We start from the raw sequence: 18,126 nt of genomic DNA on the forward strand, positions 1-18,126 counted from the left end.
GCAGGCATGAGCCACCGCGCCCAGCCAATATTGTTGTTTTGAGGCCTTCATGAGTGCTGATGGAGTTGGGGAGTCTACAGTCTCTTCTAAAGTTCATAAGGGATGGAGGTTGGGGAGGGAGGTCAATGAGTCCCTAAGGCCTGGGAATGGTGTTTAAATCAAAAAGAGGAGACCCTCTATTTTGGAGGATTATAAGGAAGGCCAAGAATTATAAGGATACCTTTTTCATGAAACCATTTCTCAGCATCTCAGTCTACCCCTCTGGCTACTTCCTGCATGAGGGGATGTTAAACTCACCCCTGCTGGGGAAGGTTCCTCTGGGAAGCCTGTGCCCACACCCCACCCCTCCACCAGAAGGGGGCTAGCAGGAGTGTCACTTCTTACTGCAGGAGGAAGACCTTTCACTACAGGAGTTCTACTGGAGCCACCTTCCTCTGATTGTATAAATGGAGCAAGAGTTCTGAGTCTCCCTGGGCTTATGTGACCCTCTAGACAAACCACTCTTCCCCTGCTTACATAACCAGGATGCCATAGGGCAAATGACAAATGGACAGAATCAATCTAATGAGATCGGAGGGACCGTTTTGAAAGCACAGAGCTGTATACAGATTAGGCCGTTAAAGCCTGCTTTGTAAGAGACGTGAAACACTGGAAGCAAAGACACAGCATCAGTACTCAAAACATGTACAGGGGGAAGAAAGCCCATGTTTCTGGCACCCCTTCTTCCTCCTTCCCTCTTTAAACCAAAAATAAAGCTCTAATCCCCACAACTGACTGACGAACCTCCATCTTGGCCAAGGGTATTCCAAAGGAAACCTGAAAATCTAGTTCAGGCCATGTTGGGAAGTGGGGTCAGACATGGCTCATTATACCCTTCTCCCTTAGGGATTCAGGCACAACTGACCAGCATTAACCTTAAAACAGAGATCTTAAGACTGACCAAACAGACTGTTGCTATAAGATATCAACATGACAGTTAGCAGATCCTGAAAGAAATTGAAGTATTTTACCCCAAACTATATTTATTTGACATATTTTGAAATGGCCCTGTAAAGCTGTCTCTTGTGGGGAAAATTCCCATTCTGTAGAGAATTCCCTTCCCTCTCCAGGTCTTTTCCCTGATCCAGGAGAGAATTGACTAAGAGTCTGGCTCCTTTTAGGTCTGATAAGAGCTCCGCAGCCTGCTACCTGGAGGTTTCATGTGCATGATAAACCGTGGTCTCCACAATCCCCATCTTAACCCAGACATTCCTTTCTATTGGTTGGAGGTCTTTAGATAATAACTCTTTCAACCAATTGCCAATCAGAAAATCTTTGAATTCACTTATGACTTGGACGCCCCCCCCGCCACCCACCCACCTCCTGCTTGGAGTTGTCCCACCTTTCCAGCGAAACCAATATACATCTTACATGTATCGATTGATGTCTCATGTCTCCCTAAAATATATAAAACCAAACTGTAGCCTGACCACGTTGGGTACATGTTCTCAGGATCTGCTGGGGCTGTGCCACAGGCCGTGGTCACTAATATTTGGCTTAGAATAAATCTCTTCAAATATTTTACACAGTTTGACTCTTTGTCAACACCTTCCCTTGTTTCCAGATCAAAACCCGTGAAAACAAGAGCCAGCTCACGTGCTTCCGGTAAACAGCAGTACGTCATCATGCCCCCATCTGAAGAAAAGGAGCTTCCCTCTGGGCAAGAGGAGCCCAGGTAGGGAGGGCTACAGAGCACCAGGGCTCTGGGCTCTCTCTCAGCCCAACACCCAGTGGGACCCAGCCAGGCAAGGGCAAGTGGCAGGCACTGGGCAGCTTGTGTGGACACAGCCCTGGCCTGACCCAGAGAAGCACATGCTCCCTGCCTTCAGGGTGCTCTTGGGGGACATGGACGCGAGACCCTAACAATACAGCCACCATTACAGACAGACGACCAGAGCCAGCTCTGAGCCTTGGACTGGGAGGGAACAGGAACAGAGAGAATGCTGCTGGTGGGATGGGGACACTATCCAGGAAGGCTGCCTCAGAGGGGAAGTTCCGAAGCAAACTGGCAAGGTGAACAGGGACCTGGGTCCACTCATTCATTTATTCATCCATTTCTTTAACAAACATCTGTAGAACCTATTAAACTCCAAACACTGCTGAGGAACTGAGGATAGAGATGAATAAAATAGAATTCCTCCCTTGGAGAAACTTACAACCCAGAGGAGAGGACAGACATATCTATAAATCATATCTATAAATAATTACAGCCCTTAAGTAAGGGCTGCATCCAAATATGTACCAGTCCATGTGTGAGCAGAGAGGGGGGGTGGGCACACTGACCTAGGTCATGGGTGAGGGATGAAGGGTGGGGGCTTCCAGGCAGAAAACAGGGAAGGCTCACCAGGCAGAGGCGGGGAGAGGGGGAGAGAGAGAGAGAGAGAGAGAGAGTGAGAAAGCAAGAAAGAAGGTGAAAGGAAGGAAGGAAGGAAGGAAGGAAGGAAGGAAGGAAGGAAGGAAGGAAGGAAAGAAAGAAAAAGAAAGAAAGAAAGAAAGAAGAAAGAAAGAAAGAAAGAAAGAGAAAGGAAGCAAAGAAAGAAAGAAGAGGAGACAGGGGTTGGGGGGAGAGAGAGAGAAATGCCACAAGGACCAGCCCATTGTCTCGCCTGACTGAGGAGGTAAGTGCCCAGGGGAGAGGTAGGTAAAAGAGAGGGGAAGTCTAAACTCAGACCAAGAGGGCTGTGAATGCCCAGCTGTGAGGTTTGGGGGCTCCTGGAGGATGTTGGCAGGAAAGGACATGACCATTCAAACCTGAGAAAGGATGGGCTGGCAGGGGAGGGGGACACAAGGTGCTGAGCCACCTTGGCTGGTGAGGGTTGGAGAGACCCAGCAGGGGAGGGAGGGCAGTCTCAAAGGGAGTGGGGCCTCCTTCAGTGCTTGAAATGAGGCCAGGTGCTGATGATGTTATACAAAGCCTGCCCAGGGGACAGGATGTTGACCACGTCACTGTGGCCCATCAGCAGGTAGTTTGGAGTCAGGTACCCCTCAACCACGGCACACTGGATCAGGTCCTGGGCCGCCTCCAGCGCTGCAGCATTTGGAGGCTTTTCTGCAAAACACATTTTCCCCATCAGTCATTAGGGGCTCAAAGTTTCTTGATTAGGGAAGGGACAAGCACCTAGATTCCAGTTTCTTTCTTCCTCCACCACGCCCCATTCCGCCATCACCATAGCCAACACATTTACGTAAATTGTGGCAATCAGGCACAAAAAGAAAACAAGGTCATTGCTTTCTCTGATTCCTCCGTGCCAAAGTTTCTTCCAGAAGGTTAAAAACTGCTGTGGAGGGGGCCAGGTGCAGTAGCTCACGCCTGTAATCCCAGCACTTTGGGAGGCCAAGCAGGCGGATCACGAGATTAAGAGATCGAGATCACCCTGGCTAACATGGTGAAACCCCATCTCTACTAAAAATACAAAAAAATTAGCCGGGCGCCTGTAGTCCCAGCTACTCGAGAGGCTGAGGCAGGAGAATGGCGTGAACCCGGGAAGTGGAGCTTGCAGTGAGCCGACATCACGCCGCTGCACTCCAGACTGGGAGACAGAGCGAGACTCCATCTCAAAAATAAATAAATAAATATAAAAAACTGTTCTGGAGGAGAACTGCAGCACAACACACCACTTCTGAGCAGGTATAAAGCAGATACAGCACCACTGGGCCGCCCACTGGTTTTCCATAACAGGCAGTGGTGCTCCCCAAATTGTTGCCATGGCTAACAAGAAAGGGGACACATTTGCCAACTGAGCGATAAAAGCACTGAAGTTTGCAAAAGACGTTTCCCCCCTTGCTCCATGTTTGCCTTGGATATAAAGCAAGGTGGAGCTGGGCATGGGGATGGGTGGATTTGGGGGTAAATGCTCTGTCTGAAAGGGGATCCTGGTGACATCCTGTATTAAGAGTCCACTTTAAAGCTAAAATGTTCCATTCACACTGCCAGGCACTACAGGGCTGCCTTTCCCGCCATGCTTCCCAGACATGCTGCATGGTCCTTCAACCCCCAGCACCCCTCTACCCCATGCTCACCCCTTACCTACAAAGTAGCCGATGAAGGCAATTCCTAGGGCAATATCGTTGAATCCATAAGTGTGAGAGCCTTGGATGTGCCATCCAACCCCTTCATACACGCCACCATCCTGGCCCACCAGGAAGCTTAGGTCAGGAAAAGAAAATGAAGACAGTCACTCTGGGAAACAGAATTTAAATACTTCATTCACTCCTTCAACCACTCATTCATTCTTTCATCCATTCATCCAATATTGACTGGAGATCTCTTATGTGCCAATGTGGACAAGGACAGAAAACAAAACAAAACAAAAAAATACCACAGTCCACTTCAACCTGGCCTTTGTTCCCATCACACCACTAAATCTGACCCCTCCAAGGTGAGCAGTGGCTTCCTGGCACTAAGTACAATGGACACTTACTTTACTTCTAGACTACACTGACCCTGTTGACCACTCTCTTAAAATGTTCCCTTCCCCGGGCTTCCACAACCACAACCCTCCTTGTTCTCCTCCTCCTGCTGCTCCCTCAGGCCCCTCTCCCACCCCACCTTACCTTCCTCAAACATGGTGCTCCTCCGCACTCTAGTCTAGGCCATTCTCTCACTCAACGTATTCACCCTGGACAATCATTGCCACAGCTTCAAGTACTACCTGTAAAAACAGTCCAAGCAAACCCACCTTCTTCTAAAATTTATCCAGCTAGAAAATTGGACAACACCCTGAATGCCTTCTACCCCCTCACTCAGCCCACCTGGTCACCAATCATGGCTTGTCAATTGTATCTCCTACACAGCTTCTAAATTCCTCCACTTCTTTCTAGACCAACTGCCACGATCCCACTGCAAGTCACTGGATCACTGCAATAGCTTCCTGCCCAGAGTTTTGCCTCCTTCCAACCCATTCTTAAAGTAGCACCCAGAGTGATTTTTCTAAAATACAAATCCTATCATAGAGCATGACCTCCCAAATAGTCTGCAGCTGCCTTTCAAATTGAGTCAGTCTCTCTGAGTCTGCTATGAGGCCCTCCGTGATGTGGCCCCTCCCAGGCTTTCCCACCCTTACTACTCACCACTCCTCTCTTTCAAATCTATTTGTAATGCTCTGTCTGAACCCCGGGCCCTGGCAAATACTGTTCCTCCTCACCCAGACACTCTTCCTCCTTCTTTGCCTGAATAAACCCCACTGCTTATCCATGTCCCAATGAGGATACTCCTCCCTCTAGAAGCCATTCTCAGACCCCAATCACCCCCCACAAAGCCTTGATTAGAGACTCATCATATACATTATCCTGTTCTGCATCCATCACAGTGCTCAAACACTTTGACTTGTAGTTACTTGTTAGCCCTCCTTCTCTCATATCTATCAGTGAAAGTTGTCAGAATCAAAATGGAGTCACTTGTGTCAAACTCTAACAAAAATAAATAAAGCCAGGAGGTTGAAAAGGGTGGACCCTCATGCACACAAGCCTACAATAAGAACTAGCACAAAGACTCTCTGAAGGACTCTTACGCACACAAGCCTGTAACAAGAACTTTTGCCAAAAACTTTCAAAACTGCAGCTTGTTACTAGTCACAAGGACATCTGGCTGATGAAGAACACTTGCCCAGCACACTGTCTCCACTAATGAACTGGTGTCACCTCCCGCGATAAGTTCCAATGTTCTCCAGTGTTCCCTTTATTTCAAAACAAACTTTTGCCTTTTGCCTTTAAAAGCTTCCCCTAGCCTGAACCTCTTTGGATATGCCTGTGGTTCCTGTAGCATGCATATCCCAGATTTGCAAATTCCCTTTACACTCTCAAATAAAATACTTATCTTTATTCTCTTGCTTTTGTTTTTGTCTTTTTCAGACAGGGTCTCACTCTGTTGCTCAGGCTGAAGGGCAGTGGCACAACCATGACTCACTGCAGCCTCAAACTACTAGGCTCAAGCGATCCTCCGTTTCAGCCTTCCAAGTAGTTGGGACTGACTACAGGTATACATGTCACCACACCCAGCTAATTATTTTATTTTTTTGAAGAGATGGGGTCTCCCTATGTTGCCCAGGCTGATCTCAAACTCCTGACCTCAAGCAATCCTTCCGCCTCGGCCTCCTAAAATGCTGAGATTATAGGCATGAGCCACCGTGCCTGGCCAAATTAATCATCTTTGGAGAATCTCTCTCTGTTTGTTGTTAGATTGATATATCTCGTCTAGCACCAGGCATATAGTAGCTATCCAATAACTATTGATTAAAAAACTAGAAAATAATGTGTGAGTGGGTGCTTTGTCCTGATTACAGTCCATATCAGGGTTACAGGTGACATATCATGAGGCTGGAGCAGAAGGATATTGCAACAGGTTTTGAAAAGTCAAGGAACGGGGATGGAGTCTCTAAAGACTGAGTGAAAGAGGAAAACAAACATTCCCTCACCTTCTGGCATTTTCCATGTGGAATTTCCAGATTTTTAGTCAATTTCTTGTTACCTGTGCTAAATAACCATAGAAAGCCTATGGAAAATCCTGCAAAGTGAAGCAAGAGTTCCCTCCTGTTTGCAAAGGCTGCTTTTAAAACAGGAGTTAAAAGGAGAGATAGTAGGCCCAGAACAACACATGTGCAAAAGCACATCTACCTGAGACTTTGTAAGATTTGTTGTGATTAAGTCACAGATGAATAATTGAAATACATTATACTCTAGCCCTAAATCCTTCCTTTGAAAATTCCAAGACATCTTCCAAGCAGCTTCTTCTACTCCATTAGTTTAATGTGTTTCTTTATTACAGACCTGGCATTAAAGGTACCAAAAGAAAATGTTTTGATCTTGCTCCCTGTCTTCAAACAGATAAAGCATTGTCCCTATTGTAGAGATGAGACAAAAGAGGCCCAGAGAGGTTAAAAGTTCCTACATCTATAAAATGAGGTAAGTAACACCAGAGGAATAGCAGGATTCTAACATCGGAGAGAGCAAGTTTGGAGCTGGGCAGACTGAGATAGGAGTGAGCAAGGCCTTTGTCTCTGACAGGTTAGAAGGGATTGCATTAAAAAGGTACAACCCTTCATGGCCTTCCCTGAGGGTATCACAGTCTTGCTTTATCACTAGGCTTCTAATGCCTTCTTTTCAGAATCTTCCCAACCACTTGTGGAGATACGTCCAAGCGAGGTAACTGACCATTAGCTATGCTCTGAATGATCCTCAGCCCAATCTTGCAAAAATAAAATATGATGCCTTATGGAAACCACCCAGCCCAAAGGAGAGGCTCAGGAAACATCAGTTCCCTCCCACAGCCTTCCTTCCTACAATCCTGAAGAAAAAGAGGGTTCTTTTGGCATTGATCCCACTTACTGATATCCAATGTCACAAAAGTTCCGTGTGTCCATGTGAAAGGACTGTATGTTTCGGACGACAGTCTGGCAGTCTGTGGATACAGTGCAGCTTGTGCCAGCGGTGTGGATGATGATGACATATTTGGCTGGGAGGTTCATTTTAGGGCAGTGTGTCTCTCTGGCTTCCCAAGCAGATCGTTTGATGATGTTGGGGCAAACTGTGGTAAAATGAAAAGCCAAGGAAGTAGGAATTTTTTTTGCCTCTCTGTGAGCAATCACTCAACTCCAGGCTGGATTATTCCTCAGCCTCTCCCAGGCCTCCAGCACCCACGGGCACATCCTAATGTAATATCAGCTTTGGGATTCTGGGGAAGTCCAGTTGGGAGGTTTCTGATTCAGATGGCTGGAGCCAAGGGGCTGAGGCAAAAATCTACAGGCCTGATACCAATAGAAATCAGCGTATAAGCAGAAGGGAAAGGGCTGTGGGTTATACAGAGGCATGGTCATTGTCTTCAAAAGACCATGCATTGCAAATATATATGCAGGTATGTGCGCTTATGTAACAGGGCTACTACGCGGAAGTCAGTGGACTCTCCGAACTGATCACACATATTTGGAAACAACTTGAAATCTAGAGAGAACTGTACAAATATTAAGAAATTATCATTATTGAAGATAGTGCCTGTCCAAAAGCAAGAAACATTTTATTTGAGATTTACAGTTTTAAAAAGCTAATTCTAAAAATATCATTGATCCCAAGAAAAGGTCCACTAGCAGGAGTGCTTATTAATTTGACTGGTTTTAGGTTGCTGCTTATTCACTTCAAAATAGTGCATTATTTTTATTACTCAGCTTTTTGTTATATGCACTCTGATGTCAGCATCATCTGTGAGCACAAGCTTTTCTCCGAGCTGTGGCTGTGCTGTGGCCATGGCTGGTTTTTGCATTTAGAAAGGTATGTAAGCTTATGTATGTCCTTCGTGTCCCCACATAATAGACACAACTATGTATACATGTTAATCCCACTCCATTCCCACTCTATTTTTCTCCATAGCTTTTATGCCGTCTAACATCATATACATTTCTTTGTTATTTTGTTCATTTTCTGTCTCTTCTCACTGAAGTGCAAGCTTCCTGAAGGTGAAGAGTTTCATCTGTTTTGTTCACAGCTGTATGCTCAGTACTTAGAACAGTGCCTGCTATGCAGTAAATATTTGTTGACTGACTGAAAATCTGTGTACATATGTATTTGTTTTAAGAAGAAGTCTATGGCTATCTCATTCTGATGGGATGGAGAGGAGGCCAGGAAGATGCCCTCTCAGAATTTTCCAGATCTCAAAGTAGGCATGAGATGTTCTTAGTCCCAGAATCCCATGGGGTCTAACAGGAAAAAGCACTCCCAAACATGACTCCAAACATGGCTAGGTGGTGACGAGGAGGAGGGTGAGGTGACATGGAGGGTCTTACCCTTCCTGGGCATCACTGGATGTTGAGGGTCCAGGCAGGTCTCTTCTTTCAGAAGAAGTGGCTGAATATACCTGGGCGACAGGTGACCCTTCTGGATGGCATAGGAGATCAGACCCTCTGCAGCTGATAAGGCAGCAGGGCTGGGACTGCTGCCTTAAAGAGGAGGACAGGGAGCACAAAAATGTCAGTAAGAAACTCCACCTAGACCAGACACCTGCAGAAAGGATGATATGACCACTTGAGCCTGAATAACTGGATTGGAAGAGAGGAAACTGGTCCAGTTGCCAGAACAGAGTGCCTAAGAGGCGAGAAGCTACCTAGATCTCTTAGCAGCCAAGGTTGAAAACTTCTTCCAAGAGCCAAGCTAAGACTTTATCCACTCCATCTCTAGGCAGAAGAGCTGGAAGGCAGTGAAGGATACATGCAAAGGGAGGCCCACCTGACCAAGTCAGGTGTGCACTAGCACAGGAGAAAAGGCAACCAGAATTTACTCATAGCTCCCCTGATCAGGTGTGCAGTAGGCTTTTTATATCTGTTAACTCATAACTCTCACAGAAAACCTCTGAGAGAAATGCTGTTACCTAGCCCCAGCTGTCAAATGAGGATGCTGGCAGGTGCTGGTTCCATATGTATTATTTCTCAGCTCCATCCCTGTTCTGTGCTTTTCTCTATTTTTCTAGGGGCTAGAAGCCTGCAAATTATACCTCCAGATTTCCTTGCCTGCTGCCTTCTGGTCACTTTCTACCAGTGGAACTGGAATAAGAGATGAGCCATGCTTCTCTGCCTCTGGCAGTCACAGCATCTATGTCAGACAACCTCAGACTTTAGAAGTGACAGCAATAACCGTGAGCTCAAGCAACGCCCATGCAAGCTTCAGCAATATCACAGGAGTACAGACCAGTAAAGAGAGGCAGAGGACAAAAAGTATGCATGTCACAGGATCCAAAGGAGAAAAGAATTTCAAGAGAAGGGTGATCATCAGAGAAGGTAAGTATGATGTAGGGTAAAAAGATGAGTGTTGACCCTTGGGAGTGGAGGAAGAGAGTGTACACAACTCTCCAGCACAGGGTCCGCAGGGAGTGACCCTTACCTATCTTATTGCCAAAGAAGGCGATGCCCAGGGAAATGTTGTTGTAGCCCTGGGTGTGCAAGCCTTGGATGTTCCAGCCAACACCTTCATACACCCTGCCATCATCCCCAACCAGGAAGCTGACAAGAAGGAAATAATGATTTTACTGCAAATCTCCATAAATGAAAACCTCTCACTGATCCTCAAAAGGAAAAGGGGTTCTGGAGGCTCATAAGTAAGTACTATGTTCCAATAACAAAACAATAGGAGGTGCAGAATAACCAGTTTTAGACCTCCAAGAGACATGGGAATATATTTTAATTTTTGTTGGGATTTAGCTTGCATGTGTTTTCCAGAACCTCACTTCAAAAATACTCATTTGGTTCAAAGTGGAATTTGACTGCATGACACTCAAGGACCTGAGGACATTAGTTCAATGCTTTTCAAGAGCTTAAAAATTACTACATCATGTTTTTAAATTATAGGACCAAACACTTGAACATTCTCTAAAATAATTATGCCAGATTCAATAGTTCCTTTTGTATTGATGTTTTTCTTCAGATTCTCTTTAGGAATTTCCTTAAGCTCTTCTTTATCATAGAAATTTGTTTAGAATGTTCCTTTTTCACATTTACTTTTTAAATCAATTTTTTATTCTACTTCTTTTATTCCTGCCTCTTTATAATTTCTCTCCTCCACTTTCCAATCAGTCTTCAGAATTGATGTTTTCACAACTTTGCCGTATTCATCTTTTAATAGAACATGAGTTTCCGCAGCAAACTGAACACAGAAAGAACACCTCCCTTAGGTCAAGGAAAGACACTGAACTGAGTCAGGCCGACTTTCCACCCTACACCGATGTCGACATGAGGAATGGGTGTGGAGCCTGGTGTGTCCACCCCTTCCCTGGCTTTGCTGCCAGTACTTTCACAGGTTCCTTGGTCACTCCTGCAGCAGCCTGTGGTTAGTACGGTGTGAACAGTCCCTTACAGCTACTGTCAGCTGCATTGCAAAAACTGGAGATTGTCAAGTTGTCACTGTAGAAACCTGACTTAGAGATGCAGAGGCTGAAATAACTTAGGAATACAGTGACCAAACCAGAAAACACAGCAGCGACAACAGCAGGATGGTGGAGGTGCTGGTGGCAGGGGCAGCAGGTGAGTCGTGGTTGACATGACATGCCCCATGGGCAGACAGGGAAGACCCAGCCATCCCAGGGGTGCTGGGGGCCAAAACCAGGGCCTGCAGCTGCTCTTATTTATTTGTGTTTAAAAATAAATAAATAAATAAATAAGACTTAGATTTTCCTTTCCAAAATGGATAATTCAGAAATTATTTATGTTTGTCTTTAGAGTTCCATGCGGGACAGCCCCATTCCCACTCTCTCTTTCCCTCTCCTTCTACATGTGTCTCCTCATTCTTGAGGCTAAGGGAGAAAAGGTTCTGGGCTTCCACTGATGATCCCCAGAGCAGAAACTCAATGCACAGTGCACAGCTCCTTCATGCCCTCCCTTGTTTCTTGCGGGTCTCTCCTCCCCGCCATTCCCAAAGCCCACTCTCCCCGGTGGGGTCCCCGGACTTGCTGTCAGAGTGGTCTTTCAGGGTAACAAGTGGGACACTGCTTCCCAGGTGCGAGTCCCTGTGAGGTGGGGAGGAGCAAGGGCTACACTGGCAGGTGCTCTCACACAGCTCTGGGTACGTGCTTCCTCTCTCTGAGCAGAGCTTTTAATTCCCCCAAACCATGGCTTTCCCGCCTGTGAAATAAGGGTAGGAATATGGGTAGGAACCCATTTCTCAGAGTAGCTGGGAGGGCCAAATCGGGTGATATTTGTGAAGACCTCTGTAAACTGTAACGTTTCGTGAGTTCCAAGGACTCAGTTAAAACTGCAGTTGTTACGTAACCTTCCTTGCTTTTTCACAGGAGCACCAGAATCGAAAGCCACTTAAATAAGTGGCTTAGAGTCATCCCTCTTACAATCCCCGAAGGATTCGGATTTTGTTTGATTCCCCTTTTACCATTTCTATTCATTACAAAAGCAATGTAAATGAAGCGCAGAAAATAAGAGCCACAGAGAAGGGGAAGTGGGAAGCACCCCCGTGACTTTGGATGTGGGCCTCAGGGACTTGGCTAGCCTCTTACTTGTACGCCACGTCGCACCAGCCTATGGTGTAGACGGAATGGGACTGCAACCCCCGCAGCATCTGGCTGCAAACGCTCTGCTGCTGGCACTGCATCCCTGGGAGCTGGTCTGTGATGATGTAGGCCACAGGCAGGGTCAGCAGGGCCCTGCAGGCGAGCGGTCTTGCCCCCCACTCCTTGCGGGAGACGATGGTGGGAGTATCTGTAGGGAAGACCACAGAATGGCACATAGCAGGCCCTGCCCATCTTCCCCCAACAGGTCGACCATGTGCCCTGACCTCTCATGCTCAGGCCCGACCTGCCCCATGCATGGGAGACACCCTGGGGGAGCCCTTCACCACCAAAGCCCCCTCCTTCTCTCCACTGTGGCTGAACCACTGCCCAGACACACGCTGCACTCAGCCTGGGAAGTCGTGCCGCCTTGTTCCCAGACAATCTCTCCTTGTCTTTCCCTGAAGGGCAAATCCCATCCCCTACTGCCCCCTGGCCTACATGCTCCCCTCCTTCAGAAAGCACCCCAGCCAACCCCGCCGCCCACCCTGGGGCTCTGAGCTGCCTCCTTAGCCCAGAAGCCTGAGGATGCATTTTCCTCACTGCCATTTGCCCTGGTCTCAACTGTGTCTCTTGTCTTCCCCTCCCCTAAGAACCATGACTCTCTGAAGGAAGCTCTATCAGTCTCCTCAACTAGGGACTCCAGAGCCCACAGGAGGCTCCATAAACACGGGGTCTGCACCTCTTTCTTCCGGGCGAACACTCCCTAGCGGCAGGGCTGTGAGATCCCACCTGCCGCGTCAGGCTACCTGAGGGCTCCCTTTCTCCATTCTCATCATGGGAGCCCCAGGAGCGCTCTGAGGGACAATGGAGACACTGTCATGCTGGAGCTGGGAGTGGAGGACATGTCTTTTCTCTCTGGGTTTTTTCTCCTTCTCTCTCTCTTTTTTTTTTTTGAAATGGAGTCTCGCGCTGTCACCCAGGCTGCAGTGCAGTGGCGCGATCTCGGCTCACTGCAGCCTCCACCTCCCGGATTCAAGCAATTCTCTTGCTTCAGCCTCCCGAGTAACTGGAATTACAGGTGCATGCCACTATGCCAAACTAATTTTTTGTATTTTTAGTAGAGACAGGGTTTCACCGTGTTAGCCAGAATGGTCTCGATCTCGTGACCTCGTGATCCACCCTCCTCGGCCTCCCAAAGTGCTGGGATTATAGGCGTGAGCCACCGCGCCCAGCCTCCTTCTCTTTCTTCATTTGAGTTTCTCTTCTTTTTCTCTCCTTAGGCTGAGGAACTCCCCTTTGCCTAAGGACTCAGGATGATCCATGGGAGTGGTTGGAGACAAACCTCCTGGGATTCCTCCCCACCCCTTTGACTTTCAGCCCAGACATTATCAAGTCCTGAGAAACATTTCTGACCACTTAAGAAGCCCCAGCCAATCTCCAAACCGCCTCACCATTGCGACCCTTGTGAATGAACTGTGAGATGCTGACAAACAGGTCCATAAGCCTCTGGGACAAGCCTCTGGCTTGGGTCTCACTCCAGGAGAACTGTGGAAAATCCCCTGCAAGAGAGCACTGGTGCATTGGTGCACTCCTTGGAGTGCACATGGCCAGCAAGCTCAGAGGCTGGGCCAGACATCCCACTCTGCAGTGCACAGCCTCTCCTCCTCCCCAGGTCACCTAACGTCTTCTAGCAAGCACACAGAGGAGAACCACAGAAGTCTCTGGCCTTGGCCTGCCTCTGCCTTCCACATCTGCCCAGAGAGGCCTTTGTCCTCCCACCTCCCCCAGCCTCCCTCCATTCCAGGAGCACTGCAGTCTCACCTGCTGCCTTATCTGGGCAGTGCCACCTTTCCTGGTTCACCGGCAGACCTACTAATCAAACCGTCGGTACCCAGCAGAGTGTCCCATACCAAGACAGTTGTGACATGTTGAGCTAACACACATGTCTTAATCACCTATTGGTGCCAGACAAGGTTCTTGAAACAGAAATATACAGATTATTGTGACCGCCTTCAAAAACTAGACGTTTTAGAGATGTTTTACTGTGGATTAGCCACTGCCAGCCTGTCCTTATCCCCCATTGCTCCCATTCAGTACCAGGGGTCCTGGGAGCAGTAGCCAATGGCAGCAGTGACATTGTTAGCAACCCCATCTCCCACAGACCAGCCCTGTGGTTACAAAGCACATCCAAGGATGCTATCAGAATTGTGGCTTAAAACAACTTCATGAGTTAAGCAAAGCAACTATGCTGTCTATAGAGAAGGGAAACCAAGTCTTAGGGAAGTTAGGTTACTTGTCTAACATAACAGAGGTTTTAAGCGTAGATTTAGATTCCAATCAGAATCTCTGGCCCCGAAGCCCCTGTTCATAACAACTGTACTCTGCAGCCTCCCCAAAGTTGTCAGATGAACTTGGGTTAGTCACTGCCACAATGTGACCTGTTTCTCTTCCTACAAGACAAAGTCACTGAGGGTCTCCACCATGATTCTGAGGTTCTGTCCTTCTGTGAAATCAAGAGCAAATACATGACCAGGACCCCAAGTCCAAGGTGTGCTGGAGAGACTGCTGAGGACAGGAGCCCACCTCAGCAGGCAGAGGGCCTAAGCTGGGCTGTGAAGGGGACACAGAGGACTGGGGAGGGGGAGGGAGGAGCCCGGAGAGGACACTTTACAAATGAAACCCACAGGACTCTCAGAGTGGAAGAGCAGCCCGCAGGCCAACACTGACACCTGGCAGGGCAGGAACCAGGAGGCAGGGATGAGGACCACACAAAACTCCCTGCTTTGCTTGGGCAAGTTAATTTCCCCATCAGGGCCTCAGCTTCTCCATTCATACAATGAAAGGCCTGTGAGTTTCTCTAACACTAACTCCAGGTAATCCCATTAAATTTGCTGTCTGAGTAGCAGAGGACAGAGAGAAAGCTATATTACATTTTTCCTTCCGAAGGGGGTCTGTGTATGTAAAACAAACTGAAAAACATGTCATATTTAAGAATCACCAAGCTCACTTTCATTTTAATTCAACAGCATTTATTTAATGAACATTGCTATGTGTCTACTCTTATGTATATAACGATAAGAAATCTTCTTAATCTAGAGAAACGGCATTGCTACTCTTGGGGAATTTGCTTTTATTTACAAATGTAGACCCAAGTGCTGGGTTTAACTATGACTGGTATAATAACGATGGTGACAATAATTAAATCATAGCTACAAATTACCCAGCACTAACTACTTGGGCATTGTGCTAAATGGCGCACACTTGTGATCTAATTTAATCCTCAAAAACAACTCTAAGAAATGAGCAATATTATCCTTTCATCATGGGAGCAAATAAGATTCCAAGAAATTGAATAACTTGTTGAAGACCATAACAAAGGACAGGCAAGGATTTGAAAAAAATCTGTAAACTCTAGAACAGGGCTCCAAATTGCAAAGCTACACTATCCACTAACAAAGTGAAAGCACTCGGATGGGTTTCTATTATTAAACTTGAGAACGGTCTTCTCTTGCTCATCAAAAGCACTTCTGATGCAAGTAAATAAAACTTACCCCAAGCCTGGAGACCCAGAATGAAGAAGGCAAGAAGCCATGGCAGCGTCCCCATGTGGTCCCAGGACTCTGACCGGGAGAGTGTGGACGGCAGCCCTGGAAGAGAGGCTAACAGTTAACACAACCATGCTAACTCTGCAAGTGGAGCACCCACCTACTATGTGGCACCACTGTCTGCCTCCCCTACCATCCTGTGGCTTCCTGAGGGCCAGCACCTGGCTCAGGCTTCTCGGGGCCCCTTAAACACATCAGGTTCCCAATAAATGTGAGGGCACTAATGGCTATGTCTAGCCACCGACTCCCCACCCACCTCCTGTTGCCCTGGGCAACTCCTGGTTCCTCATAGAAGCGCAGTGCCTGATCTTAGGCCTTTCAGGGTAGAAAATAACAATTTCTAAAATCCTCAAGGTAGCTGTTATGAAAAAACACTGTGTATTTATTTTCATATCTAGTGGTGCAATTTCATATTTGATTCAATTTTTATAGGTAAGAACATTGAGGCTCAGATGGAGTGAACTACAAGCAGAAGCAGGCTTGGCTTCGCCCCCTGCACCATTTGAGAGTCCCAGGTATGTAAAGTCATTCAATTCAGTCATCTACTCTGCAAAGATCCCTGACAGTTGTTCGACTAACCTCTTCTTTAGTGAGAATCATAATAACAGCTACCACTTACTGACTGCATTCTGTGTTCCAAGGTTTTTGCTGAGGACTCCATGGATATTCACTAAGTAGTCTCACAATGACCTATGAGACCCGCACTTATCATCAGAACACTGGGCCTCAGAGAGTTTGAGTCACTTGTCCTAAGTTTCCCAGATAATAGGGTCAGAGCCAGATTCATACCCAGGTCTGTCTGACTCCAGAGCCTCTGCCTGAAACTTCACAACCTGTTTGAGTTTCTGATGGACGTTCTCAATGTGGGCCCAAGAGGTTGAACTATAGGATCACTATAGTCTTTTCCAGCTCCAGGAATCTTTCCTGCTCTTTCAGGTAGAAGTGAATTGCTTACTCATACTCAGTCAGACTGAAACTTTAGCTGTATGAGCTACCACCCAAAACATCAACTTTCCCCCCAATTTTCCTACTGAGAAAATATAAAGTGGAGTTTGAAACCAAATGGGATAGATCATTGCCCTCCAGGGTTTTTAAACTGCAATCAGCAGTCCCCAAATGGAAAATTTTTAAAACCATGTCTTAAGAGTAGAACATGTGGAAGCCTCCTGGGTCAGGACAAGCAACCACTTAGCAGATAACACCCAGGATTCCATTCATTCAGGAAAACTGCAGTGAAGACAAAATGAGCTAATTACAAATGAGGCAGGCACCTAATAAATATAAGGAAAAATGTTCAGCCTCCCTCGTTAGTTAAATGAGAGGTAAGGATTCACTTTCCCAAGATTGAAGGCCTGTTAGGAGCTGGCCTCCTGCAAAGCTACTGGAAGCCACTATCAATTCTGGTTTGCACCCTGGTCACTTAATCACTGTGCTTCCACAACCATGAAACGTCAGTATGGCAAATCCTGCCCCAAGCTGGTCATATCATACATCCAAAATATCAAGGCTTCAGCCCAGTCCCTGACCTTGCCAGAGACAGAACTGATAATGTCTCCAATCCACACCATGAACTGCAAACACTAAGCTGGTAGGATAAGCTAGAGCCAAGGATTTACCACCTTGGCTCACATTGCTGTGCATCCTGTATACTGAAAGAAACATTAGACCAGGAGACAAGTGAGACATAATAGATAAGAATTTAGGGCTCTACAGAAAAGGAAGAAATTGGGTAGAGGTAACCTCAGAACCCACAGCCTTGCCAAGAAAGATCCAGCAGTGGTGAAACCAAACTCATTTAGAAGAATTTAGAATGAAGAAAATTTTCTTATTTGGAGAAAGAGTTCCAAAAAACGAGATCAGGGGAGCTTTCCCTACCATGTACACATTTTAACCCTATAGACTTCCGTCCCATTGCTGAATGAAGACTTCTAAAGAAATACACACACACACACACACACACACTCAAACTCACAGATACCTGTGGGTTCTGTGCTGTTCCAGCCCAGCAGGTCAGGGTGCAGTCGGCTCGCCCCTGATTGGCCAGCAGCTCCTTCCCTTCCAGACTTGGCCTCCAGGACCTGCCCTTCTTCTCCAGCTGGTGCCTCCTCAGGCCTTCACTCCCCCTGGCCCTAGAGGGCACTCCCTCCCTGGGAATGGAGCACTTGGGCTCTGGCTTCCCAGAGAGAAGAGGAGAGCCCAGGATCCCTAACAAAAGATGGAAGAGAAGAGAAAGGCAGAGGGCTGAGGCTCCAAGCCAGCTCTGTTTACAGCACCCAGAGAAACTTAAGTGGGAACAGACCCAGGCTGAGAGCACCTGGGGACCCGCCCTGTGAATAAGCCCAGGTAGCTCCTCCCTGGGAAAGGGTGTGATTGCCCAACACTCCCTGAGTTCCTTCCTCATCCCCAGCCCTTATGTCTTGTAGACTGGGGTCCCGGGGGTCCTGTCCCTGACATCTGGGAACTTCCTACCAATGAAGATCTATCTGTTCCAGGTTCCACTGGAGTCAC

The 18,126-nt window shown here is 47.2% G+C and overlaps 1 protein-coding gene across 4 annotated transcripts; it reads right to left on the minus strand.

The window, feature by feature from the left end:
* Positions 1–2,069: 2,069 nt before the first annotated feature.
* PGLYRP3 (peptidoglycan recognition protein 3) lies at positions 2,070–17,906 on the minus strand. 4 transcript variants are annotated; one of them, XM_011509118.2, is made up of 9 exons: positions 17,597–17,906; positions 15,565–15,660; positions 13,465–13,572; positions 12,020–12,221; positions 9,901–10,019; positions 8,811–8,963; positions 7,363–7,561; positions 4,067–4,185; positions 2,070–3,088 (listed from the first exon to the last, which is right to left on the minus strand). In XM_011509118.2, the coding sequence occupies exons 2-9, from the start codon at positions 15,617–15,619 to the stop codon at positions 2,910–2,912; spliced, it is 1,134 nt and encodes a 377-aa protein (XP_011507420.1). In that variant the 5' UTR covers positions 15,620–15,660; positions 17,597–17,906; the 3' UTR covers positions 2,070–2,909. The 4 variants fall into 4 exon arrangements, 3 of the variants coding, with proteins under 3 accessions (XP_011507420.1, XP_011507422.1, NP_443123.1); XM_011509120.3 differs by lacking the exon at positions 17,597–17,906 and adding an exon at positions 13,835–13,989 and having other exon boundaries at positions 15,565–15,616; XR_921736.2 differs by lacking the exon at positions 2,070–3,088 and adding an exon at positions 4,594–4,691 and having other exon boundaries at positions 4,099–4,185.
* Positions 17,907–18,126: the final 220 nt, after the last annotated feature.

Source organism: Homo sapiens, chromosome 1 (genome assembly GCF_000001405.40).
Source record: "Homo sapiens chromosome 1, GRCh38.p14 Primary Assembly".
In the NCBI taxonomy this organism is placed as follows: Eukaryota; Metazoa; Chordata; class Mammalia; order Primates; family Hominidae; genus Homo; species Homo sapiens.